At 36.9% G+C, this 27,745-nt stretch overlaps 1 long non-coding RNA gene across 1 annotated transcript, besides 1 other annotated feature; it reads left to right on the top strand.

The window, feature by feature from the left end:
- Window positions 1-50: 50 nt before the first annotated feature.
- On the top strand, window positions 51-27,745 carry LOC105374657 (uncharacterized). Its single transcript, XR_007058694.1, has 3 exons — window positions 51-105; window positions 2,976-3,104; window positions 27,707-27,745. It is a non-coding gene; the product is annotated as an uncharacterized LOC105374657 (long non-coding RNA).
- Window positions 8,316-8,961: an enhancer, noted in NCBI's record as "NANOG hESC enhancer chr5:12856113-12856758 (GRCh37/hg19 assembly coordinates)". NCBI's record gives its function as "activates a minimal SCP1, AML or CMV promoter by ChIP-STARR-seq in naive H9 embryonic stem cells {active_cell/tissue: H9 hESC(naive)}" and the evidence as "EXISTENCE:reporter gene assay evidence [ECO:0000049][PMID:30033119]".

Raw genomic sequence — 27,745 nt, 5'->3', positions numbered from 1 at the left:
CCTGACTTCTGTTACATGAGCTGATCCCTGTTTTCTTTCATTCCTTCTTTAGAAAGGCAGAATAATACGATGATGTGGATCTAGACTCCATGGATTCTAATTCAGGTATCAACTCTTACACTCTGTGTCATTTTGGACAAGATTTTTTTTTATTTTTATACAAGTATCCTCATGAATTAAATGAAGATACAAATAGCTCTCAACTCGTAGATATCTAGTAAACAGTATGTAATTTAAATTGTGTAACAGGTGTAGAGCAGTGCCTGTCCTTGTAATGTGTAAATAAAAGCATCACATGTATTGGTTATTACTGTTATCACATTTAAATAGAAATGTCCAGTAAGATGTTAAAGATCTAAGCAAAATTATATCTCTGATGCTATAAATAATCTCTGATGATATAAACAATCCATTCCATTTGTCTTAAATTTCCTCAAAAACCTAGAGAGTAACATTGTACAAGCCAAAGATTTTTTCTAACTCTTTTTAAAAATTTAACAATCCAATCCTTCTCAAGGGTAAGAATTTTTTCTCAATGAATACACCTGAATACTACTTCAGTTACAATTAAATGCATACATGAGTGTACCAAACACACAGGTTTAAAAAATTTTAGTAATATCAAAACTAGGTAACAAAATTTCCATCAGGTAAGTCACTATAGAAGAGTGTATTCTTCAGTGTACCCTGAAGAAAAGGCTCAGATAATCATCTATATAATAGGATTTCATAAAGAACAATATGTACTAATTCAAAGCCCAATTTACTCAGCAAAATTAATATGCAAGAAAAATTAATGTTCTGTATAAGATGGTTCATTTCCTACTCCTTGCCTTTTTTATTTATATCATGAAGATGGCTGGATGATGTAAAATTCCCAAATAATATGCTGCTGCATAAAAATTGTTTGAAGAAAGAAAAAAATAAACAAGGACAGGTTTCATAGGAAACTGAAATAGGATAGTCAGAAGCAGAGTACATGAATGATTAAAACCACACATAAATGAGCATCACACAATGATTGGGAAACCCCAGTGGCAGATACACCAGTGGAAGCATGTTCTTAAATGGTGTGTTAGTCTTCTTTAGTAGTCCATACAAGAAAGAGTGAAGTTTAAAGTCAGGAAGCAGGCTTGGAGTGATGGCTTATGCCTATAATTCCAGCACTGTAAGAGGCCAACGCAGGCAGATCGCTTGAGGCCAGTAGTTCGAGACCAGCCCGGGCAATATGGCAAAAACTCATCCCTACTAAAAATACAAAAAATTATCTGGGCATGGGGACCCAAGCCTGTAGCCCCAGCTGCTCTGGAGGCTGAGGTGGGAGGATTGCTTGAGCCTGGAATGTGGAGGTTGTAGTGAGCTGAGATTGTGCCACTGCACTCCAGCATGGGTGACAGAGTGAGACCCTGTCTGAAATTAATGAATTAATTAATTAAAGTTAGGAAGCAACCAATAGAAAGGAGACAAAACTATATTAACAGTGAATTCGACAAGATTGGCAATGCATCAGGAAGTCTAGGGCTGGAAAATATAACTATTAGTTGGATTCTTAGAAATTATACTCTCTCTCTTTTTGTATTTTGTATATTTAATTTTCTACATAAGCATATTAATATTCTATTATCCATCCCTTCTTTAAGAAATAAAAAGAACACTCTTCAGTCTAGTTTCTACATTTAGTTGTCAATCCTTTTTTCTACTCCTCTTTATCAACGTTTGTCTGTAATCCTATACCCAATTTTCCGTATCTCATTTACTCACAATCTCTATCCAATTAAACTTCATCCCCACCGTATCATCAGAACTACTCCTCTTTAGGCCACCAATGACTTCTGTGTTGAAAACCCAACGTTTAATTGTTAACATTTTCCAGGCTTACTCCAACAGAATATTTTAGACATTGATAACGGCCTACAAACACCTTACTTGCTTTATAGACATTCCTCTTTAGCTTCTTTTATTGGCAATTTCTCTTCTTTATGGCCATGAAATTCAAAGGGTCCAAGTTTCATTTTTAGATAGTTTATTTTTTATTATCGAGTGCTCTTTCTTGATTATCTCTCATTTAGTACTAAGGCTTTAATTATCATTATGCATTTACAGCTTCCAAATTTATATTGCCAATCTGGACTTTTCTTCTGAATTCTAGGCATGTATATCTGCCTAGCTACTTGACTTCTCCACTAGACACCTAAAGAAAAAGAATAAAACTTAATATGTTAAATACTAGAATTTTAATCTACCATGCTGCTCTTTGCGTGTGCTCTCTTTATAATTCATCCATCTCTGCTAATAACAACTGTCATCTTTCTACTTACCTATGCACTAAAAATTTGATTCCTCACTTCCTCACACACATATAATTTAATATATTCCTAAATCCTTTCAGCTCCTCCTTCAAATCCATCTAGAATTTAGCCATTTCTAGACACTTGCACTGCTCTTCTATGAATTATTGTAAGCCACTTTCAAATTCTTGCATCAGAGCTCCAGTTGATCTCCTGTCTTCCACATAGAGCTTATAGTGCAAAATGCAACCAGAGTGATTAATTCACTATGTAATTAAAACACGGATGACTCTCTGCTAAAACCCTGTAATACTTCTGTATTAGATATATATTGTTGTGTAAAAAATGCCTACAAATATAGTGGCTGTAAGCAACACACCCTTATTTATGTCACATTCATTATTTTTGTGGGTCAGGAGTTTGAGCACTGCCTAGCTAGGTCCTCTGCTGAAAGTGCAGTCCTTGAGGTCAAACTGCAGAAACTGGATCCTTGAGATTAAACTGAACCCTCAGCCAACTCCTTTATTACAGCATCTTGAGACGAAGGGTGCAATTCCATCTCAAGACCTGATGAGGGAACGATCGCATTGCGAGTTCATGTGATGGTTGGTGGCATTAAGTTCCTTGAGAGTTGCATAAATAAGAACCACAGTCACTGGATGAATTTCAGCCTTGTGCCTCTTTCAGTTGCTGGATGTCTGCTGGCTGGAGATCACCCGTTTCCCTGTCAAGGGGGCCTCTCTGCCACAATAAGTTGCTTCATCACCCTTCGACAAGAGAGAAAGGCTACTAGCAAGACAGATGTTACAATTACAGGTAAAATTCATAATAACAGTCAACAATTTTGTTGTTTTCTGTTGTTTAGAAGAAAATCATGAAACAAATAATCTCCACACACATTCAAGGACACCAGGAGTCAGAAATAATTGGGACTGTCTTTAAGTCTGACCACTATAATTCCTCATTACAATAAAAGTAAAAGCCAAATTCTTCACTATGTCCTGCAAGGCTTTATGTAATCTTCCCTTAATTATGTTTTTTACTACTCAAAAACACTTCAAAAGTTTGATGTTAAGATTAAATTATTTCATGATTTTCACTTGTCTGTTTCATAATAAAATATATACTCCAAAGTATTAAAATTAATAAAAATCTACTTTCTATTGTATATATGTTTCTATGAAAGACAGAGTTTGAAGAAAGTTGTTATTGCTTAAGAGAAGTAAATGTTCGTGGGCTAGAAGATTTTTGAGATTCTTTTCATTTCTGACATTTTGGGGATAGTTAAAGAAAACAAATGCACCACAAATAGGGCTTAAGTGCCTTCCTCAATGCCCAAGTCAGATACTAAAGCACAAAATATATTAAATAATGTATTTAACCTAAGAATGTCAAGTTATATCTCATTCTATATGGCATCAAAAAGTCTAATGCTAATAATTTTCAGTGTTGCAAATAAGACATAATTTTAATTGTTTTTAATTTTACAAGTTACATTTATAAACTTGAGTACATTAATATGAAATTATGTCATGATCTTTAATTGTAAAGACAGAATTAGAGTAAGACAAATAGAAGTAGTGGATTGAACTCCTTTTATCAAGCATCTGTGTGATTTAGCCATATCTTCTGGCACGTCATTCCATAAAAAGCAACAGTATGGCAGTATGGTATAAGTGTCAATGAGCCTTATAGAGAAATACGGGTTAACTACATTTCACAAAAGGAGAATTGCATTTTAAAAAGTTGAAATTCCCTTTAAAAATTTTTAGCTGTCAAACCAGTGACATTTTCTAGGGGTTAATGGCTAGCAGAAGAGTGGTGATCATATTTAACAGATTCCAAATAATACTGACTTTGAATTAAAATCTATATATGCTTCATAAACATTTTAAAATATTTTTTCTAATTGCAGTCACATTATAAAGGACATAGTTTTTTGTTTGTTTGTTTTTTGAGATGGAGTCTCGCTCTGTCAGCAGGCCAGAGTGCAGTGGCGCAATCTTGTCTCACTGCAAGCTCCACCTCCCGGGTTCACACCATTCTCCTGCCTCAGCCTCCTGAGTAGCTGGGACTACAGGTGCCCACCACCACGCCTGGCTAATTTTTTGTAGTTTTAGTAGAGACAGGGTTTTACCATGTTAGCCATGATGATCTCAATCTCCTGACCTCATGATCTGCCCTCCTCGGCCTCCCAAAGTGCTGGGATTACAGGTGTGAGCCACCGTGCCCGGCCAAAGGACATAGTTTTAAAAATAAGAATGCAGATGTAATGGATATTCTGCATTTCTCAGTTATTTGTGGTTTTATATTATATTATTATAAATTAAGCATTTTACCTTCTGTTTAATTAAACCTATCATTGCTATGTAGACTATAACATAGAGCATTGCACTAATCACACAACTAAATACCAATGCATAACTCATTAATTGTATTTTTTAGTTAAGAAAATATTCTAAGATAAACACCACAATCTTAAATTTTAAATATCATTACAGGTAATGTCTATGCCATCGTCCCTACTAGAGGTTCCTGATGGTACAAAGCTAGTTTCTCATGTAGTTAAGATATATTTAAAAATTAAACTAAATAATTAGTTATATAAATATCTGCAGTCTATGAAAAGTGCTACAGAGAGAAACTACCGTATCTAGTGCTCAGGTCTTTTTTTTGAATAACATTCTCCAATAAAAGAAAAGAGGGCTCCTTATAGAAATGGGTGATTCTAGGATTAGGGCAGAAAATACACAAAATAAGCATTGAGTATCTCATAATGACAGAAAGTGAGATAGTGATTAAAAACTACTACAACAACAACAACAAAAACCCAAACTACTGTAATACTGTAATAGTCCATTCTCATGCTGCTATAAGGACATATTCAAGATATATTCAAGATTGGGTAATTTATAAAGGAAAGAGGTTTAGTTGATGCACAATGCAATATGGCTCAGGCAGCCTCAGGAAACGTACAATCATGGGGCAAGGGGAAGCAAACATGTCCTTCTTCACAGGATGGTAGGGAAAAGAAAAATTCGAGCAAAAGGAGGGGAAAAGCCCCTTGTAAAACAATCCGATCTTGGGAGAACTCACTCACTATCATGAGAACAGCGTAAGGGCAACAGCCCCCCTGATTTAACTACCTCCCACTGGGTGCCTCCCACGACATGTGGGGATTATGGGAACTACAATTCAAAATGAGATTTGGGTGGCGACACAGCCAAACCACACTATTCTGCCCCAGCCATTCCCAAATCACGTGTCCTTCTCACATTGCAAAACACAATCATGCCCTTCCAACAGTTCCCCAAATCTTAATTAATTCCAGCATTAACTCAAAAGTTCAAGCCCAAAGTTTCATCTGAGACAAGGCAAGTCCCTTCTGCCTATGAGCCTATAAAATCAAAAGCAAGATCATTACTTCACAGGTACAATGAGCGTACAGGCATTGAGTAAATACATCTATTTCAAATGGGAGAAACTGGCCAAAACAAAGGGGCTACAGGCCCCATCCAAGTCCAAAATCCAATAGGGCAGTCATTAAACTTTAAAGTTCCAGAACGATCTTCTTTGACTCCATGTCTCACATCCAGGGCACACAGATGCAAGAGGTAGGCTCCCATGGCCTTGGGCAGCTCCACCCCTGTGGCTTTGCAGGGTACAGCCCCACTCCTGGCTGCTTTAACAAGCTGGCATTGAGTAACTATGGCTTTTCCAGGTGCACAGTGCAAGCTGTTGGTGGATCTACCATTCTGGTGTTTGGAGGATGGTGGCCCTTTTCTCACAGCTCCACTAGGCAGTGCTCCAGTGGAGACTCTATGTGGAGTATCCAACCTCACATTTCCTTTCCACACTGCCATAGCAGAGACTCTACATGAGGGCTCAGCTCCTGCAGCAAACTTTTGTCTGGTTACCCAGGCATTTCCATAAATCCTCTAAAATCTAGGTGGAGGTTCCCAAAACTCAATTATTGACTTCTGTGCACCCACAGACTCAACACTATGTGTAAGCCACCAAGGCTTGGGGCTTGCCCTCTGAAGCAATGGCATGAGCTCTACATTGTCCCCTTTTAGCCACAGTTGGGATGCAAGGCACCAAGTCCCAAGACTGCAAAAAGCAGCAAGGCTCTGGAACCAACCAACCTAACCATTTTTTTCCTACTACACCTCTGGGCCTGTGATGGGAGGTGCTGCCACGAAGACTTAAGACATGCCCTGGACACATTTTTCCCATTGTTTTGGCAATTAACATTTGTTACTTATGCAAATTTCTATGGCTAGCTTGAATTTCACCTCAGAAAATGAGTTTTTCTTTTCTATCTCATTGTCAGGCTGCAAATTTTCCAAACTTTTATGCTCTGCTTGCCTTTTAAACACACATTCCAATTCCAAACAATATCTTTGTGAATACATAAAATTGAATGATTTTAACAGCACCTAAGTAAAATGCTTTGCTGCTTGGAAATTTCTTCCACCAGATACCCTAAATTATCCCTCATGCTGTTCTCATGATGGTGAGTGAGTTCTCACAAGATCTGATGGTTTAATAAAGGGCTTTTCCCCACCTTTGCTTGGGACTTCTCCTTCCTGCTGCCTTGTGAAGAAGGACGTGTTTGCTTCCCCTTCTGCCATAATTGTGTGTTTCTTGAGGCCTCTCCAGCCTTGCGAAACTCTGAGTCAGTTAACCTCTTTTCTTTATAAATTACTCAGTCGGGTATTTCTTCATGGCAGCATTGAGAACAGAGTAATACAACAGGTAACAGTAATCAGTGGGCATTTTTTGATTGGGCATAGCTATTTAAATAAAACTGTATAAACATATATATAGATAAAACCAAACCGGTAAGTTCATCCAAAGCTGAGATTTTGTTAGGCCTGTGTAACAAAAAGAGAGAGGGCAAGTTAATTTGCATTTCTGCCTAAAGTATCATTGAAGACATGAAATATAATATCTGAATTTAATACAAGTAGGAGAAAAAACAAGCAAAGGCTTTAGTTTCCAATTTGAAATACCTTTAAGACTGAGAGTTATGTCTGGGAGCCATGAAACATCATGGAATATGTTCTAACATATTCATGAGTTAACCTTGAAAGATCATACAGAAGTCAGATAATCGTGCTGCAAAATCAGAAAATGCTGCAACTTATTTACGGTTCCAAATTTCCCAATTAATAAGCAACAGTTCAAACATTTAAATGCATGTGTGCCTGATTCCAAATGTTTGCTGCAAAAAATCTGGCAGCTTTGGCCAGAAACTGTGACATGCAGGTTAATTCCATCGTATATTATTCAATGCTGTACAGCAGCTACAGATCAGCTGAGGTTTCTTATCTATGGCTAAGTCATTGTCTTAAAATGGTCAAAATCATAGTGTCACTAAAAAGAGTTTAAGGAGTGAGTTTGTGGTCCATTACTGGATCTATTTTCTTTGGAATTCATTTGGATTTGCCAGAGCATATGCTGTATGATAAATTAAAGAGGGCTCTGCTAAAGAATGCACAGAAGAGGATAAGTAAAATGCTGGACTACAGTTGAAAAAAAAAGTTTACATGTAGTATTCAGGGATGGAAATATGGCATTTTAGCACAAGTATACTGTTCCAACAACTGGAATTACTAGCAGTTATTGGCTCTGCTTCCAGCAGCTGCTTACCTTAAAGAACTTCTAAGCAAAGAAACACAAAATAATAGTAATAGCAAGATGGCTGTCATGGGACCTAGAAAGGGGAGAAGCAATGTCGCCCAACTCCAGAGGTTGGTGTAAGAGTTTGAAAGGCATTGTCTGATTTCAGAAACCTTTTCCTGTAAACACCGGCCGGGCAGCATTGTGTACTATCCCTGACCGGTTAGTGTAAAAACAACACTCTTCCCCTAGGAAGCTGCAGAGTCCTTTCTCAGCAGTGAGGAGGTCTAGGCCTCAGCGGTTTTGGAGAGTTACTGCTGCCGAACAGTCTATTTGGGATTGTAGAGTAAGGATAGAGTTCGTTATTTCTTGCAAACTGTCTGAGAAATCCTTTGAGTGTGTGGTAGTAGGATAATACATGTTCCACTGTTAACTTTTAGTGACGTTTACTTTAGTTGAAAACCTTGTAAGTTTGGGATTTTAATTTTTCTTTGCTATTAATAAAACCTCATTCAGTCCATAATAACTTAGAATTGGTATAGATGGCTCTTTCCTGATTCTGTAAGTAGTTTAAGATTTGGCTGAATGCAAACAACTGGCAAGTTTGAGCAGACCAATTATTAGGCAATTTTCCTAACTCTGCTTCTGTAAGAGTTTCCTTATCACTTACTGAATATCTATTGTGTCTTTTTCCCTTAATCACCTGGGAGGAACCATCTATTGTCCTGTCCTGAAGGGATTCCTCCTAGAGCTGGTCGGACCTTTGTATGATAATTAAGATTTAGATCCCCTGTTAAGAAACCTGCTGGGTTAAGGATTTTTGATAGGAAGGCTATGGATTGTCAGTGGACTCAGTGCTTTTGGGCTGTGCCCTTGTTTACACTGACAACAAGGTGGGATTTGAGTGTTATAAGGTTACAGAGAAGACCTTCCATTATCAATTATAGGTTTTAAATTTACCCTGGCTTTTAAAGAAATAAGGTACACTTTTTTTCTTTACTACCTCTATCTCTGTCTTTCTCTTTGACTTCTTTGTCTCTCTTTCTTTTTCTGTTTCTGACTCCCTCTTTGTCTGTCTCTTCCTGTCTCTCTGACTTTCTGTCTCTCTCTTTCTCTCTTTCCTTTCTGCTGATCTTTCCCTGCCTCTGCCAGCCACTTATGCTGCTGTTCTCCCCTCTCCTTCCCCTTTTTGATGGCTTCGGCAGTGTAAGACTGCCACCTCCTCGGGTTTTTGCACTGTGTGCAGTAACTCCATGATTTCCTTGTGGTATTTAATGGGGGTTCCCCAGAGGTTTGGAACTCCCTTTCTTTCCATATTGCAGCTTGGGCATATAGGATTAGATAAGCATACTTGCTATCTGTATACACATTTATTCTTTTTCCCTTTCCCAGTTCTAAGGCTTGGGTACGTGCCACTAGTTCTGCTAACTGGGCGCTGGTCCCTGGGGGAAGAGGCTTACTTTCAAGTATAGTTACATCACTAACTATGGCATAACCAGCCCTTCATATTCCATTCTCCACAAATGAACTTCCATTGGTATATAGGTTAAGGTCCATTGGTATATAGGTTAAGGTCAGGATTAGCTAAGGGTACTTCTAAGAGATCATCTCGGGTGGCATAAGTCTGGACTATAATTTGTTGGCAGTCATGCTCAATTGGTTCCCCATCCTCTGGGAGAAAACTGGCAGGGTTGAAGGCCACACATGTACATATTTGAAGCACCATTCCCTCAAGGAGTAGCACCTGGTTTCTAAGCAGGCAGTTGTCTGTTAGCCACAAACTTCCTTTGGCACCTAGTATGCCATTTACATCATGAGTAGTCCAGATAGTTAGATCCTTTCCTTGCATTATTTTGATAGCCTCTGACACTAAGATGGCCACCGCCACAAATACCTGTAAACAGTGAGGCCAGCCTTTTGCTACTACATCAATTTCCTTACTTAGGTATGCCACTGGTTGTGGAGTGTCTCACGAGTCTGAGTAAGGACTCCAAGAGCTATTCCTGCTCTCTCTGTGACGTATAAAGAGAAGTTTTGTCCTGTGGGAAGGCTTAAGGCTGGAGCTTGAGTTTGTTCCTTCCAATGTCCAGACTTCAGGGTTGATTCCCTCCTCAGGCAGGGGACAACAAATGGGTAACTTGTTCCCCATATTAATGTAGATAATAGCTCAAGCTTTGGCTAATATGGCCCTCCCTAATAAGGGTATGGGACTTTCAGGCATAACAAGAAAGGCATGGGTAACGGCCCTTGAGGACAGCTGTCTGGGACAGGAGATTGACACTGAGAAAGCCACGCCAGTGTCCAGGAGGAAGTCAATTTCCTGGCTCTCAATGGTTACACATACCCGGGGCTCAGTGAGGGTGATGACATGAGCTGGCACATGCCCCAGGCACCCTTAGTCCTGTTGTTGGATCATCTGATTCGGGGCTTCTGGCCCAGAGAACATTTGCCCTCTGGGGAAGTGTGCCTTCCAGTGATTGCCTTGGCACAGTGACATGGGCCAGGGGACAACTTGTTTCTCGTTGGACAATCTTTTTTAAACTGTCCTTGCAAACCACACTGATAACAAGCCCTACTGGGTCATTGGTCTGCTCCATTTTCTGTCCTCTCTGAACCACCAAGGTTTGTGTGTCTGAGGGCCGTGACTAAGGCTGTGGCCTTTCTCTGATCTTGCTTTTCCTTTCGGGCGTGTTCCTCTTGGTCCCTATTATAGAACACCAAGGTTGCCAGGCTTAATAATGCCTCCAGGTTTTGTTCAGGGCCCAGGGCTCGCTTTTGGAGCTTTCTCCTGATATCTGCAGCTGATTGGGTAATAAACTTATCTTTTAGAATCAATTGACCCTGGAGTGACTCGGGCGACAGGGGAGTATATTTTCTTAAGGCCTCCCGTAGCCACTTGAGGAAGGCAGAAGGATTTTCTTCCTTTCCCTGAGTTATGGTGGACATCATTGAATAATTCAATGGCTTCTTCCTAATTTTCCTTAGTCCTTCTAGAACACTGGTCAACAGATTTTTACGTCTCCATTTCCCATGATCTGAGTCGAGATCCCAGTGGGGATCCATACTGGGGATGGCTTGCTGACCAGTAGGGAATTTGTCCCTTGCTTCGGCCATCATTCTATCACTTACTTGACTAAGATACCAGGTATCTCCAAACTCTCAGGCTGCAGCTAAAGCCATGTTCTTTTCATTAAAGGCCAGGGTTTGATCTGATATCATGACGTCTCTCCAAGTGAGGTCAGAGGTTTGTCCTAAGCCCTGTAGAACATCTACGTATCTACCAGTATCATCTGAAAACTTCCCCAGGTCTGCCTTGATCTGCTTTAAATCAGAGAGGGAGAAGGGGACATGTACACAGGTTGGGCCAAATTCCCCTCCCCCTACAGCTTGAAGGGAATGTCCATATAGCACTATGTGGAAGGTTTTAAATATAAAGTTAAAATTATTCAAATGTTAGTATTTTTCTCACCCCAAATGTAGTAAGCACGTTGCATGTCTTTTATTTCTGAATTTGATCTTTGGGGCAGCTTCATCTCAGATGAGTATAGAACACATGAGTCTTTACGCAGTCTCATCTTTTTTCTTTTCTTTTCTCCTTTCCTTTTCTTTCCTTTCCCTTCTTTCTTTCTTTCCTTCTTTCTTTCTTTCTCTTTCTTTCTTTTTTTTTTCTTTTGAGACAGTCATAAGATATAGGCAATGGGAATTTCACCATTAACTTGAAAATGTCTTGCCTGCAGCCTTCCTTGTTCATTATTCCTGAGACGGTGGAATTTTGGGGGCAATTGTGAAATCAGCCTAATTTTCCCCACATACTGAATATTTATGAATTTTTTGAATAAATACGGAAACTGACCCTCTTAGTCTTAAAATTTTTAAAACCCGTATTTGTCTTACCCGAGTTCCTTGGTCAGGAAAGCAACCATCAACCCTCTCAGATAGTATTAAGAAGTGGAAACTCACCAGATCATGGCATCTGGACAATGAGATACCACACCCCTCACCCATCACGATTGCCCAACTGACTACCTGATGCCTGCTTACCAACTACTTTTCCTCACCTCTTTCTAATTCCTGTTTTTCCACAAGTAGTTAGTTACATTTCTTCCCTGTCATATAAACTCCTAATTTAAGTCAGTTGACCAAACACAGCTGAGACTTGGCCTCCCATTCTCTTCGGATGCAGCACTGGAATAAAGTGGCCTTACCTGGCAATACTCATCTCAATGACTGGCCTTCTGTGCGGTGAGCAATAGGACCTAGACTGAACCTCTGGCATTCTGATAGCAGTTGTTGCACTTCTGTGCTGAAACTTGCAGAAACACAGGTACAAGACAATTAAAACATATCATTTTACAGAGAAAATCTATTTAAATGCTCATGTATTGAAAATAACTAACTCGGTTTCCAGTAGTCCCAGAAAGAGTAAATCTGAAGGTTATCTTTCCTTTTTTTATTTATTTATTTATTTTTATTTATGTATGTATTTTTTATTATACTTTAAGTTTTAGGGTACATGTGCACAACGTGCAGGTTTGCTGCACCCATTAACTCGTCATTTAACATTAGGTATGTCTCCTAATGCTACCCCTCCCCTCTCCCCCCACCCCACAACAGGCCCCAGTGTGTGATGTTCCCTGAAGGTTATCTTTCTAACATGACATTCCCTTTTTCTTTAAATCTGACATTATAATTGTTATTAATGTAGTTCTGAAAGTTAGGCAGATAACATGTGCAATTAGAAGAACAAAAGATGAATTTCTTCCAAGGGAGAAGGGGATTTTGAGGGGCCTGAATCCTGTTTTAGGGATCCTCTTGTAAGAAAACAACACAAAATATTTAACTTTGAACATTTTATAAACTATGCAACTGTGTGAGCACCAGTCTAAGACTCCTTTAGGGCTTTGAAATAGGCCGTGTGTGAGATGACCTGGTCTCTGGGTTTTATTAGCTTCTTTAGGGTATACTGATAGCTAATTTCTTTACATCACATGAAGCCTGTGTTGTAAAGCGTAATACACAGGGGGTTGTATTAGAACCTGAGATGGCAAGGAAGTTCTTGTTCAAGTGATTTATTGAGGAAGGAAGCGAGTGAAATACAAAAGATTGGTCAGGGAAACAAATAAGCAAGTGTGTGGTCTTGGCTAGGGACTAGCTTCTGCCTAACCGTAAAGGGACTCTGGAGTGGAAAGTACACCAAAACTGGTCCTGAGTCAAGTCCAAGGAGCCAGTCTTTGCCGTGTTTCAGTTGTTTGTTAGCATTGGACAGCTGGAGAAGAATGCCAAACTTTACTGTGAAGGCCTCTTTTACTTTTTAAAAATGATTATCTTATTTTTTACATTGACAGATAAATTATATATATTTATCGAGTACAACATGATGTTCTGAAGTAGAGAGTAGTATGGTGATTATCAGGGGTGTGGTGGTTGATGGGGGTGCATTGGAGAAATGTTAGTCAAAGGATACCAAATTTCCATCAGACAGGTAGAAAAAGTTGAAGAGACCTACTGTATAACCTGGTGATGACGGTTAATAATATATTCTTACAGTGTTAATGAATTCTGAAAAAAGGCTAAGAGAATGGATATTAAGTGTTCTCACCACAAAAATAATAACTATGTGAGTAATGCATATGCTAGTTAGCTAGATTTTGTCATTCCACAACAAAGGCTTCTGACACTTGCAGGCAGTTCTCCAGAAAAGGAGTGCATTAGTTTGTTTTCACACTGCTAATAAAGACATACCTGAGCTGAGACTGGGTAATTTACAAAGGAAGGAGGTTTAATGGACTCACAATTCCACATGGCTGGGGAGGCCTCACAATCATTGGGAAAGGCAAAAGGCACATCTTACTTAGCTACAGGCAAGAGCTTGTGCAGGGGAACTCTCATTTATAAAACCATCAGATCTCATGATACTTATTCACTACCATGAGAACAGCATGGGGGAAACTGCCCCCATGATTCAGTAACCTCCACCTGGACCTGCCCTTGACACATGGGAATTATTACAGTTCAAGATGAGATTTGGGTGAGGACTCAGCCAAACCATATGAAGGGGGCAGCTTTGAGGTGTGACATTCATGTTAGCTAGAGAATGAGTATCCCAGACTCATTAATGGGATGTGTCAAGGCACAGACTGTACTCACCACAAACAACAAATACATTCTAAAAATAATTCAAGCACACTAAACTATTAAGTGAACTCTTTAAATAATGTAATAATAATTATTACCAAAATGTTATTCACTGCTGATTGTTCTAGAAGGCATGGGTTGTTTATTTTGTCATTTTTTATGCCAACATTCAATTAACTTGCATAAAGTTGTGCAGGCTGGGTATTTCATAACCCTAAAAGAAGTCATTCAAATTTTAAATGTTGCATATATTCTATTTGTTTTGACATTTTCTCCCCAGTTGGAAATACAGTAGCTTGAGGCTACAGCACCTTTTCCCAATACCAATAAAGATGTCATATGGGTCAGTAGGGCCTCTACTTGTTACTATTTATTAAATGTCTCCTGGGCTATTGAATATATTTATTCTCTGATAGCCAGCAAGGTTGTAGAGATTATGCTAGGGTTCCCAGAGAGGAACTCATCATAAAATGAGCTATTTTCTTAAGGGAAAATCATGTAACTTTAATCTTATACGTTTTTAGTCTATCAGAACACTGTATAATTTTTATTTGCTATGTAGCGAATTATCACAAATTTAGCAGATTAAAACAACCATTATTTATTATCTTACTATATTTCAGGTCGACAGCCTAGGCTGCACTCAGGAGGGGTTTTTGAGGTTTTACATGCTACAGTCAAGATGGAAGCTAGGCTGGGAGTCTCATCTGATTCTTGCAGTCTTCTTCCAATTACATTCAAGCTATGGGTAGAATTCAGTTCCTGCAGCTTTAGGACCTCAACTCTTTGAAGATGCTCTTCTCCCTAGGCAGCTCAATACATGATTGTATGTTTCACCTTTCTTAGAGGGCAGGAGGTCAGTCTGTCTGACTCACTGCACCCTTTTCAAAGACCTCTCCTAATTAGGTCAAGCCTACCCAGGATAACCTCCATATTAGTTCATACCAAGTCAACTGGTTAGTAACCTAATCATAGGAGTAATAACACATCATATTTACATGCCATACTCACACTCAAGGGGAGGGTGTATAAAAAAAGGCAGAAATCCTGGGGACCATCTCAGAATTCTGTCTACCACAAACAGCAAGCTCACAGACCTGGATGATTGTATTTATCATTGAAGTGAGAAGATGTGAGGTGACTGTCTTTTGAAGGTTCTTTGGAGAGAATACATACCCTCTCACCAGTTGGTAAGCTCCAACAGCTGTTTATTTTATCTTCCAAAGTTAAAAAGCATATAATTTTAGGGTATTTATATCAACCTAAAGTTAATCAAATGGAGAAGAGTTGAGGCTCAAATTCTAGCTTGTGGTAATAACTCTGGGCAGCAGAATTCAGGATTCTGGTATTGAAATGGGAGTTTTTTTTTTCTTTAACATGCAGTCATAAAATAAACCATATTTTCATAAATAGCAATATTCTAAGATGATCATAAAATTTAATCAGAACGAAAATTGATATTAATCTTATTTTAATGATGTAGTAAGTATGGATTTATGCTCTTCTTTTAAATTATTTTGATTTTTACCTGACATATAATAATTGCACATATTTATGGGGTACAATATGATGTTTTAATACGTTTCAAATCAGAATACTAAATATATTCATCACTTTGAACATTCATCAGTTTTGTGTGGTAAGAACATTCAAAATTGTCTCTTCTAGGTATTCCGAGATATACAATACCTTATTATTGACTACAGTCATCCTACTGTGCAATAGAACATCAGAATTTATTTTTACTTTCTAATTGTAGCTTTGTACTCACTGACAAGCCTCTTTCCGTCCTTCTATCACCCTCTCCTCCCCAGTCTCTTATAACCACTATTCTATTGACTACTTCAATGAGATCAACATTTTTAGATTCCATATATGAGTGAGATAGTGCAGTATTTGTCTTTCTGCTCCTGACGTATTTCACTTAATATAACATCTTCCAGGTTCATCTATTTTGTCACAAATGACAGGATTCTCTTCTTTTTATGACTAAATAGTATCCCATTACACATGACATTTTCTTTATCAATTCAATCTTTGTTGAACATGTAGGCTGACTCATACCTTGGCTATTGTGAAGAGTTCTTCAATAAGCAAGTGCAGACATCTCTTTAGCATACTGATTTTATTTCCTTTGGATATATACCCATTTCCTTTGGATATATACCCATGAAATTGCTGAATCATGTAGTAGAAGTATTTTAATTCTTGAGGAACTTCTATACTGTTTCTATAACAGCTGTATGAATTTACATTTCCACCAACAGCATGTGAGAGTTCGTCTTTCTTTACATGTTCACCAACACTTGTTATCATTTGTCTTTTTGATAATAGCTATTCCACCTGGAGTGAGATTGTGGCTATAACTGCATTTCCCTGATGTTTAGTGATAATATTGAGCATTTTTAAAATTCTTTTTGGTCTTTTGTGTGTTTTCTTTTGAGAAATGTTTATTAAGGTTATTTTCCCATTTTTAATTGCATTATTTGTGGGGGTTTTTGGTTATTTACTTGTTTGTGTTCGTTATGTATTCTGAATATCCAGTCCACATCAGATGTATAACTTACTAATATTTTTCTCATTCTGGAGGTTCTCTCTTCACTCTGTTGCTTGTTTCCTTTGTTGTGAATAAGCTTTCTAGTTTCATGTAATCTCATTTGTTTATTTATGCCTTTGTTCTCTGTGCTTTTGAGTATTTATACAAAAAGTTCTTACCCAGTTCAGTGTTGTGAAGCATTTCCCCTATGTTTTCTTCTAGCAGTTTCATAGCTTTGGGTCTTAAATAGAATATTAAATCAATTTAGAGTTGAACTTTGTATATGGTTAAAAATAGGGGTTAACTTTTATTCTTCTGCATACAGATACCTAATTTTCTGAACACCATTTACTGAAGATACTGTCCTTTTGCCAATGTGTGTTATTGACATTTTTGTTGAAAATCTGTTGGCTGTAGATGCATGGATTTATTTCTGAGCCCTCTATTGTGTCCTGTTGGTCTGTTTCCGTTTTGACACTAATACCATGCTGTTTTGGTAGCATGATGTCTCCAACTTTTGTTGGCTAGGTAAAGGGATATCTCCAGCTTTGTCTTCTCTCTCTCTCTCTTTTTTTTTTTTTTTCAAAATTGCTTTGGCTATTCAGTGTCTTTTGTGATTCCGTATTAAGATTTTGCTTTCTATTTTTATGATTGTTTTCTGTGTGTCTGTGAAGAATATCATTGATATTTTCACGGAGATTGTATTGAATTTGTAGATTGCTTTGGGTAGTATGGACATTTTAACAATGTAATTCTGATCCATGAATACAGAATATCTTTCCATTTATCTATATTTTCTTCAATTACTTTTATCAATGTTTTATAGTTTTCATTGTAGTCATCTTTTACCTCCTTGGTTAAATCTACATCAAGGTTTTTTTTTTTTAGTAGCTATTGTGAATTATATTGCTTATTGCTTTCTTTTTAAATATTTCGCTATTAGCATATAGAAATGTTACTAATTTTTATATCTTGTTGTTGCATTCTATAACTTCACTGAATTTGTTTATTAGTTCTGTTTTGGTGGAGTCTTTAGTGTGTTCTGTATATGAGATCATCTCATCTGCAAACAGGGGCTATTTGTCTTCCTCTTTTCCAATTTGCCCATCTTTCATTTTTTTTTATTGTTTAATTTCTCTGGCTACGACTTCCAGTACTGTGCTAAATACAGTTGGTGAGAGTGGGTATCCCTGTCTTGTTCCAGTTCTTAGCAAAAACGGTTTCAGCTTTTTGTCATTTAGCATAATGCTAGCTGGCCTTTATTGTGTTGAGGTAAGTACTGTTTTTACCTAATTTGTTGATAGTTTTTGTCATGAAAGGATACAGAGTTCTGTGAAATGCTTTTTCTGCCTCTATGGACGTGATGATATGGTTTCCCTCATCTTTCTGCTAATGTGATGTATAACATTTATTAATATATATATTTTAATCCATCCTTTCATCCCTGTGATAAACCCCAGCTGACCACTGTGAAAGATCTTCCTAATGTGCTATTGAATTCTGTTTGGTGATATTTTGAGAATTTTTACATGTATGCTTATCAGGGATATCAACTTGTGGTTTTCTTTTTGTTGTATTTGGGTCCTTATGTGGTTTTGGTATCAGGGGAAGACAGCCTTGTAGAATTTTTGGAAATATTACTTATTCTTCAATTTTCTGGAATAGTTTCAGAAGAATTGGTCTGAATTGTTCTTTAAAGTTTAGGTAGAATTCAACAGTGAAGTCCTCAGTAGCTGGGCTTTTCTTTTATAGGAGAAATTTTACTATTGATTCAAATTCCTTACTTGTTATTGGTCTGTTCAGATTTTCTATTTCTTCATAATTCAATTTTGACAGATTGTATGTGTGCAGGAATTCATCTGTTTCTTCTAGGTTATTCCATTTTTTGGGTATAACTTCACAATTGTCTCTCATGATCCTTTGTCCTATGATATTGGTTGTAATTTCTCCTTTTATCTCTGATTTTATTTGTTTGAGTCTTATCTCTTTTTCTCCTAGTTAATATAACTACCGATTTGTCCATTTTACTTTTTTTTAAGCCTACTTTTAATTTCTTCAGCTGTAATCCAGATAAGCAATGCCTGGGAGTGCCTTAGTGGTCTAAGTTGCAGGATTTTGTGTCTGCAGCAGTGCTGCCTTGCTGGAGGCAGGGTCTTCCTGCTGGTTTTTAGGCTGAATGTACATGCATATGATGAGTTTCCTGTCCGGGGTCAACTTCCCTGCTGTGCAAGACTGCCTTCTTTGGGGAGGTAAGGTGCCATGTGGGCTCTGTTGCCAGAATCACTGCAGTTCAGCTAGGCCTAGGCTCAGAACATCTGCATTCGTGGTTCTTCATTCACATGCATGAGTCTGGTAGAATAACAGTGGAGCCTTGAGGATGGAGAGCTGCAGTGGCTTTTGGCCCTCATAGCAGGCTGCATTCTATCAGTGGTTTCAGTTTCAAAATAAGGCCATGCCATAGCAGTTTGGGTCACGGTGGTGCAGAGTGCAAGATGTGGGCTCCTACCCTGTAGCAATGTAGCCCTGTGAACTGCAGCCAGCTCACTAAACTGAGCTCAGCGCCTATGGGATTCTCCTGTAGCAAGGGATGCAGATGTCTGCCACAGCAATGGGGAATTCTAGGGGCCTGATGCCTATACTCTTCTGCAGGAGAAGCTCCTCCTGGCCCTGAGCCCCTCCCAGCAGGGAAGATAAAGTGGCGGAGGCAGGATTCTTTCCCCTCCTCTTTATGCCGCCATCCTGGCTTTTCTTGACTCACAGGGTCAACACTCCCTTGTCCTCTAGGACTTTCTTTCAGACAATCTAGTTGAAATGTATTTGTTTATTCAATGGTGGTTTTTAAAATTTATTTGTTTTTTGGTGGAAGGAAAAGAGCCAGACACCTCTTATCAGTCATGTTGCTGACATCACTCTTCTAATTATATTTAAAATAAGTTCAAGTACCTAGATTATATTTAATAAAGATATATGATTCACAAATGGTCAAGTATACTAAGTAGTCAGGAAAAAATATATATGTAGAAATAGATAGAGATATATTGATATATATATATATTATATATAGTGATTTATGTTTTGACTTTCTGGTACCTGTAATTTAATGCATTAAAAGTATTGACCTTTTAATATTGATGTCATTCCATTAGAGATGATTGCCTGAACAGGTTATAGTGAAGCTTTAAAAAATAATTTAGTTAAAAATTATCACAAAAATAAGTTAAATGTCTACACAGAGAAACTGCTTTCAAGGCCCGCATTTGAACTTTATTCTGCAGCATTTGCTTTAATACAAAATTAAACAAGTTCAGACCAACTAGAGCAAGTGTTGTTAGAATGATTTAATCAAATCATATATGGAATAATCTAATACAAAGTATTTTCATCTTTACATTGCAAGGTAACCGAGACATATTCTATTTAATTGCTAAATAGTTGGCATATTGTTTCTATACAATTTTTATTCATTTATGATTCATACCCCCTACAAACAGGGACAAATTTGAGGTAGGTTTCAGTGTCTTATAATTGAAGTCTGGAACATGGTCTGTAATAGCATATGATTTGTTTGTCCCACAATTGCATTGTTTTTAGGCAATTTTGTAACTAATTAAGATCAAGTATTTTCAATTCAATATACATTTTTCTACTATATACACACTGTTTTCATATACTGTATATACTATGCTATATATATACTATATACATTGTAACATATACATAAAACACTCTATATATACACGCATTATATACTATGCTACATATACATATACTACAGTTGACTTTATGTTTTTAATATACATTATTTCTACAGTATACATTTTTCTACTATATTTTATATTTGTTTTTCCCCAGATTAATACATATATTACTGACCCAGCAATTCCACAAGTTTTATTGAATTAATGTAATTTTAACATACTTCAAATGATACACATTTTAATAACATCTGTAATTCATTTGTTGCCTGCTGTGTTCAGATGTTTATTATATACATATTCTAATCTCAGAAAAATGTGACAGTATCACATTTCAGAAATAAGAAAGTTGTATCTTAAAAAGATTAAATAATTTTATTTAGTTCATTCACTTAATAAGAAAAATGACCTGGGATGCAGATATCCTATCTCAGTAGATACCAATTAAATGCTTTGTCAATTACTTAGAATATTTGTACATATATATTGACAACCATTAAAATTATGTTTCTGAAAGAATATAGGACATATTTTACATCTAATTTTAAATTTGGATGCTATGTTGTTTCACACTACCTGTAATATCAACCAAATTGCATGTGATGTGTATGTACTCAACATTTATTCAACAAATATTTACAGGTTGTCTACTAATTCCAGATATTGTGATAAGAGTTGGAGATACAGTTGCATATATGTAGAAACACTTACACACAGATGTAGAAGTAGAGACACAGGTGCTGTTCAGCGAAAGAATCTATCATCAGAATGAACAGAAAACCTATGGAATGGGAGAAAATTTTTGCAATCTATCCATCCAACAAAGGTCTAATATCCAGAATCTACAAGGAACATAAACGAATTTCCAAAAATAAACCAAACAACCCCATCAAAAATCAGGCAAAGGACACAAACAGACACTTTTAAAAGAAGGCATTTATGCAACCAACAAACATGAAAAAAAGCTCAACATCACTGATCATTAGGGAAATGCAAATCAAAACCACAATGAGATATCATCTCACACCAGCCAGAATGGCAATTATTAAAAAGTCAAGAAACAGCAGATGTTGTCGAGGCTGTGGAGAAATAGGAACACTTTTCCACTGTTAGTGGAAGTGTAAATTAGTTCAACCATTGTGGAAGACAGTGTGGTGATTCCTTAAGAATCTAGAAGCAGAAATACCATTTAACCCAGCAATCCCATTACTGGGTATACACCCAAAGGAATATAAATCATTCTATTATAAAGATACATGCATGCGTACGTATATTGCTGCATTCTTCACAATAGCAAAGACATGGAATCAACCCAAATGCCCATCAATGATAGACTAGATAAAGAAAATGTGGCACAGAATACTCTGCAGCCATAAAAAGGAATGAGATAATCTCCTTTGCAGGGACATGGATGGAGCTGGAAACCATTATCCTCAGCAAACTAACACAGAAACAGACAACCAAATACTACATGTTCTCACTTATAAGTAGGAGCTCAACAATGGGAACACATGAACACTGGGAGGGGAACAACACGCACCAGGGCCTGTTGTGGGTGCAGGGTGAGGGAAAGCTCAGGATAAATAGCCAATGCATGCAAGGCTTAATACCTAGGTGATGGGTTGATGGGTGCAGCAAACCACCATGGCACACATTTACCTATGTGACAAACTTGCACGGCCTGCACATGTATCCCAGAACTTAAAATAAAATAAAATATAGGAAAAAAAAGAGATATAGGTGCTGTTAAGGCAGATGCAAAGGATATATACACACCTTTTATTTCTAAACTGAGCACATAACCTTACTCCTTACACTTGGTTCTTCTATAGGCGTTCCATTATTGATAAATAGTAACAGCCTTTCAGTTGCTTGGCTCAACTATATGAGTCACTTTGGCCTCATTTTTTTCTCTTCAAACCTCACAATCTGTCTTCCAGTTAAATTTCTTGGCAACATAATACTTTCAAAATATGTTCAGAAATTCAGCCACTTCTAATCAGCCAGTCGTCACTACCCTATTCAATGTTGCCACTATTTCTTACTTGAAAAATTGAAATAACTTTGTCACTGTCTTCCTGTTTTAACTCCACCACCCTTAACCTCATCCACTGCCTACGCAGCTTGAATAATTCTATAAAATATACATTGGTTCTGTCAGTTCAGAATGTGTAGTGACCTTCCAGTTTACTCAGAGTGAAGTCCCTATTATTGTAGTAATCCCTGTCCTTCCCCTTTCTAGTGTAATCTTACCTCTCCTATCATTCCCTCATCTAATTCCAGCCATTGTTGTCCCTCATTTCTTTCCACTGACTTCTAAGCAGTACTGTGTTTTTCAGGGTCTTTGCACTGCAAGTCCCCTTGCCTGGAGAAGCCTTCCTCAGATATCTGTATATAATGAATATTTCACTTCTCTCAAGTCTTTGCTCAGAAGAACCTTCTCAGTTATGCCAGTGCACTCTGAGTTATTTAAATTTAAAATTATCCTCCACACCTACTGCCCTTTCTGTTGCCTTTTTCCATTTCATCCTAGTACTTATAACTATGTAACATATTATATATTTTAAAGTTTTGGGTTTAGCATATGTCTCTCCGTTCCAGAATGTAAGCTACTTGAGGGCAGGGATGTTTTCTTTTTAATTCTGTTCAGTTTTCACAGCACTTCAAAGGATGCCACTCTCTAATTTAGCTATGAAAAAGTACTTATTGATTGATTGATTGAAAAAACATATGTAAAGCTATAATTATAATATGTAATATTTTTATATTCATAAATGATTTCAAATTTTTACATCAGTTGAAAATAAATACTGAGTGTATGAAAACTGAGTAGAAAAGGAATGATGTTAATAGTTTCTTTAAAACACACAAATCATTCAGGAACTTTTTGTAATGTCAAACAATGTGACATTAAATGAGCTAGAGAAAAAAAATCTACTCCAACAAAATTTGGGTTTACTATACCATATAGGATTTTTCATGTTAGAAATTTATTTTTAAAAAGTGTGAACATTTATTAAGCTATAAATACATCAATCTAAATCAGTGCTGATTGACATAAGTACCTCTCTTTTGAAGTAAGCCAAACAATTTAAAATCTTTGACTATGGAAAGCAAGTTACACATCTGCAGACTTTTTCTATCTAAAATCATATTCTAAGTTAAAAAGTAATTGAATTAATTAAATCATTGTATCTTTATGAAATATATTTCCATTTACCCTAATTTTAAATATAACATGTTACCTACATGCTAATGAATTAAGCCTTTGCGTTTGTATCTGTACTTGTCAGTGGATAATGAATGTGTACCCCGAGGCTGTCTGTAGTAATAAATGCCCCTTATTTACAAACTATGTTGTCTCCAGAAATGTTAAACAGTCTTTCAGAATTGCATGTCACAGTGACCAGCTTTTCAGTTATAAACTCTCATTTTTACAAGATCATAACTCAAAGGAAGTACTTGCACTTGTCTGAACTGCCATACAGGTGACAGCTGATTAGCCCATTTCTAGTACAAGATAGTTAATGTTCTTGTAAAACCCCCAACGTGACGTGAGCCTACTCATGTCTATCAGGCAGTGCTTAAAGTAGACTGACAGATGATGGGCTGAGGGAGTCAGCTATTTTGAAGACGAGTGTTTCCTTAATATTTATTACCCTTTATTCCTGAATTTAGACTGTGAAAAGGTGGACTAGAGGGTGTTTTAGCTCAGAAACAAGATACAACTTTTCAATGACGATACAAACTAGATTAAATAAAATGAGAATTCTGTAAAGTGTCAATCCACGGACACTTCTGGAGTGGGTCAAGGGGTGGCCCCCCAAAAATATATGTCCACATCCTGGCCCTTGGAAAACTGTGAGTGTGAATTTCTATGAGAAAATGGTCTTTGTAAATGCAATTAAGGGTCTTAAAATGAGATCTTTTGTATTATTTGAGTAAACCCTCAATCCAATGACAACTCCCCTTACAAGAGAAAGAAGACACAGACAATGAAGAGGAGGAGGCAGCGTGACTGCAGAGTTTTGAGGGATGCAGCCAGGGAAGTGAGGAGTGCCGGGAGCCACCGCGAGCTGGGAGAGGTAGGCAGAATCCTCCCCTAGAGCCTTCAGAGGGAGCACAGCCCCACCAAAACCTTGATTTGGGGACTTATGGTTTTCAGAACTCTGAGATAATAAATTTGTCATATTAAGCTACCTAGTGTGTAACAATTTGTGGTGGCAGCCCTAGGAAATAATACACTGTTCCAAAAACCCAGCTGTGCTTGAATTAAACAGGAAAGGGATTTCGTGATAAAAGGTACAAGGAGCTCATTGAATAACTGAAATGGCTGGAGAACCACTCTGATAAATAAGCATTTATCCAGAGAGGCTAAGTAGCCACGTCTTCTGCTCTGATCACTACACAGAATCTTCCAGAGAGAAGGTGATCTAGCCAATATCCCACACACAATCATCAACAGACACTGGACATAGCCTCTGGCACAGTGACCATTGTGGCCCTCAGAAAATGCTGCAGTAGCTACTGCGTTTCTAGCTCAAACATATAAGGTGAGGAATTCTTCCCAGGCAGTATCAAACTAATAAAAAATGAGGTCACTGCTTTTAATCATAATATTGAGTCTTTTTAGAAACCATATGAATTAATCTATTTTTCCACATTATGATAAATCATAGCTAGGTAATAATCCATTACAATTAAATCTCTGAGAATATTAACCCAGTAATTCTTGTAAATGATGTCCATTTGAAACCCTTTTTAGATATGAAATTAAAACTAGTTCAATTTGAAATGTGTAAATCTAGTTAAGACTGCTTTCTATATTGTCACACATCATCATTTATTATAAAAAATGAAATGAAAAACTCTGCTGAATTTGTTTATGTAGCAATCTCTAGAGATAAATAGGAGAGTGCATGTTTTGTATCATATTTTAAATTACATTACTATCCTATTAGTTATGGTTTTAGCTTATATTGGTATTTTTGCAAGAAAAGAAAAAAGACCTGAAGGCAAGACATGATTAAGACTGGGTACTTTATAATATGTCGAAAGTATATTGAGAAGACTCTCAATCACTAAAGAAATATATCAATTTTGCATTATAATTTATAAAAAATAATTTATTAAACTATGACAGGAAATTATGAAAAGTAAAGTAACCTGTATAATTGGATTGATGCCATATTAACAATCAGAATATCTAAGATCTTGTTAGTTTCATCATTACTGTGTTTAGTCATAGGCCAATTGAAAAATCTTTCTGCATATTTTAGGAAAAAGGGGAAATAATGTTCATTTCCTAATATTCTTATAAGAATCACATACTACTCATGCATCCTTTCTTCCTATCTTCCTTCATTTTTTCCATGAACTATGTATTGTATCAATGTAACTGCAATTGGAAATATGTGTATAACTATCAATAATTATTCCAAGCTCATGGGGGCAGCCATGTAAAACATTGTAAAAACATTTGCAACAGAATGGAGATAAATTAGGATATGCTTAGCTGGTCCAAAAAGCCAAAAGATACATAGATCCAAAGCATGAGAGGTTGAAATGTAAATTCTCCTTTTCTATACACAATGCGGCCAAATGATTTTCAGACTTCCTATAATTGTATCAACAGAATTAATCACAGTCTTTCTTTTGAGAAAAATATAATGCAGAGTTAGGGTGGATTTTTCATAATGCTTTATTATTGCGCTCTTTCATCCTTAAAATATTAGGAGCAATGAGATAATGTTTCTCCATAAATTTTTATTCAAAACCTGTTCAGGTGAATAACTAAGGCTGTCGTCAACAATGTGTGTGTTTGTTTGCCTCATGAGGAAGAGACCAAGACTTTACCAGCATAGACTTACTCTGCTTTCCTGAGGTCAGGAGTCCAATAGCAACCACTACCTCTTCCTAGGACTGTAAAACATGTCTTACTTAAAGATAATAAATGACTGAAAATAGAATAATCATTAAAGAAATATTAAGGCCACTTTTTAGCCTAGGCCAACAATTCTATTTCTACTCTATTTCTTAGTTAAACTTTGGTGATATTATCCAATTTTTTAAAGTAGATTTTGTACAATCAATTCAAATGGCAATATTAAGTATGCAAATTATATTATCAAATGAGCTTTTTGTCAGATTACTAGGAAAAAATTTAAGTTGGTAATAATAATTAAAATAATTAAGTCCAGTATTCCACCCTTTTAACTTTGGCTTTTCTTCAATCTCAGCCACAAACTTTCATGTAATATAGGTGGAGCCAAGCAATTTCATTAGTTATATCTTCATGTTCTCCTCCTGGCAGCTGTAAAATTCTTTTAGCACTTCTCCAGCTAAATTAATTCACTCTGCAGTCTGCCACATACCTACTGTTTTTAAGAAACATTTTTCATTAGAATATGTAAGATTACCATGACACTGAACCCATTTAAGCAAAATTTTTAAAACCACCAGCAAAACATCAGCCTCTGAAGTAATTGTCTGAATGAAAATGATGTTTCTGGAACCCACTAAAGATTTCAATACAGATCTCTATTCCTAAATTGTCATGTGTATTAAAACAACTTATTTATGTCTAGAGGAAGGTGAGCAAACAGAGAAAATACAGGTAAAAAGGAAAAAAAAAAAAGTCTGCTTGTTATTCACTTCAGCAGTATTAGCCAAGAATCTACAAACCGGCAAAATAAATGAAGCTAAGAGTAATCTCCCACTATCTATCTGAATAATTCTCTTTCTTCAAGTGACATTGAAGACATGCCTATACCCAAATGATTTCGATGCACGGTAAGTGTGCCAGTGTTCAGGCATTACTTCAGTCGTCTCTTTTCTTCCCTTGGAGAATGTCTGATGAAATCTCCTGATTTCTGTTAACCACTTGAAAGCTTAGCTTCTGTCATTTCAGAGCTGAATTGAGTGCAGGTCTGTCTAATGACATATCTTCCACTTGTGTCAGCACGTCACACATTTACGAGCACATTTCCAAGGAGAATGTATTCCCTTAAATTCTTTATTATTCTAACATCCTATTTCCAGGTATATCAAGCTACTTACCTTATATTGCCATAGTGAGATATACCAGGGAGTCTACTGAAAACTATCCACTTTTCAATACCATTTCCAGTGTCTTTCTGCCTGGGATGCATGTTTCTATATGTTCAACACTTAGCCCAAAACTTGACAACGGCTTATTCTCCAATTCTTTTCCTCCCACCTGTTACCCCAGATGTTAATTTAAATTCTTCCTCAGGATATATGAAAACTCTGTTTGGGGCCCACAATGCCTTTGTGTTTATTTTGTATTTGTTTCTAACTTAATCATAATGCTGTCATGATACCTAAAATGCTCAACACTGATCTTCATTTCATTCTCTCAAATCTTTCTAAAAGATTTTTTTCTTGTTTTGTTTTGTTTTTTATAGAAACGAAGTTTTGCCACATTGGCCAGGCTGGTCTCAAAC

Source organism: Homo sapiens, chromosome 5 (assembly GCF_000001405.40).
Source record: "Homo sapiens chromosome 5, GRCh38.p14 Primary Assembly".
Classification (NCBI taxonomy): Eukaryota; Metazoa; Chordata; class Mammalia; order Primates; family Hominidae; genus Homo; species Homo sapiens.
Note: the sequence above shows the minus strand (reverse complement) of the source record. Positions and strands in the feature narration are given on the sequence as shown.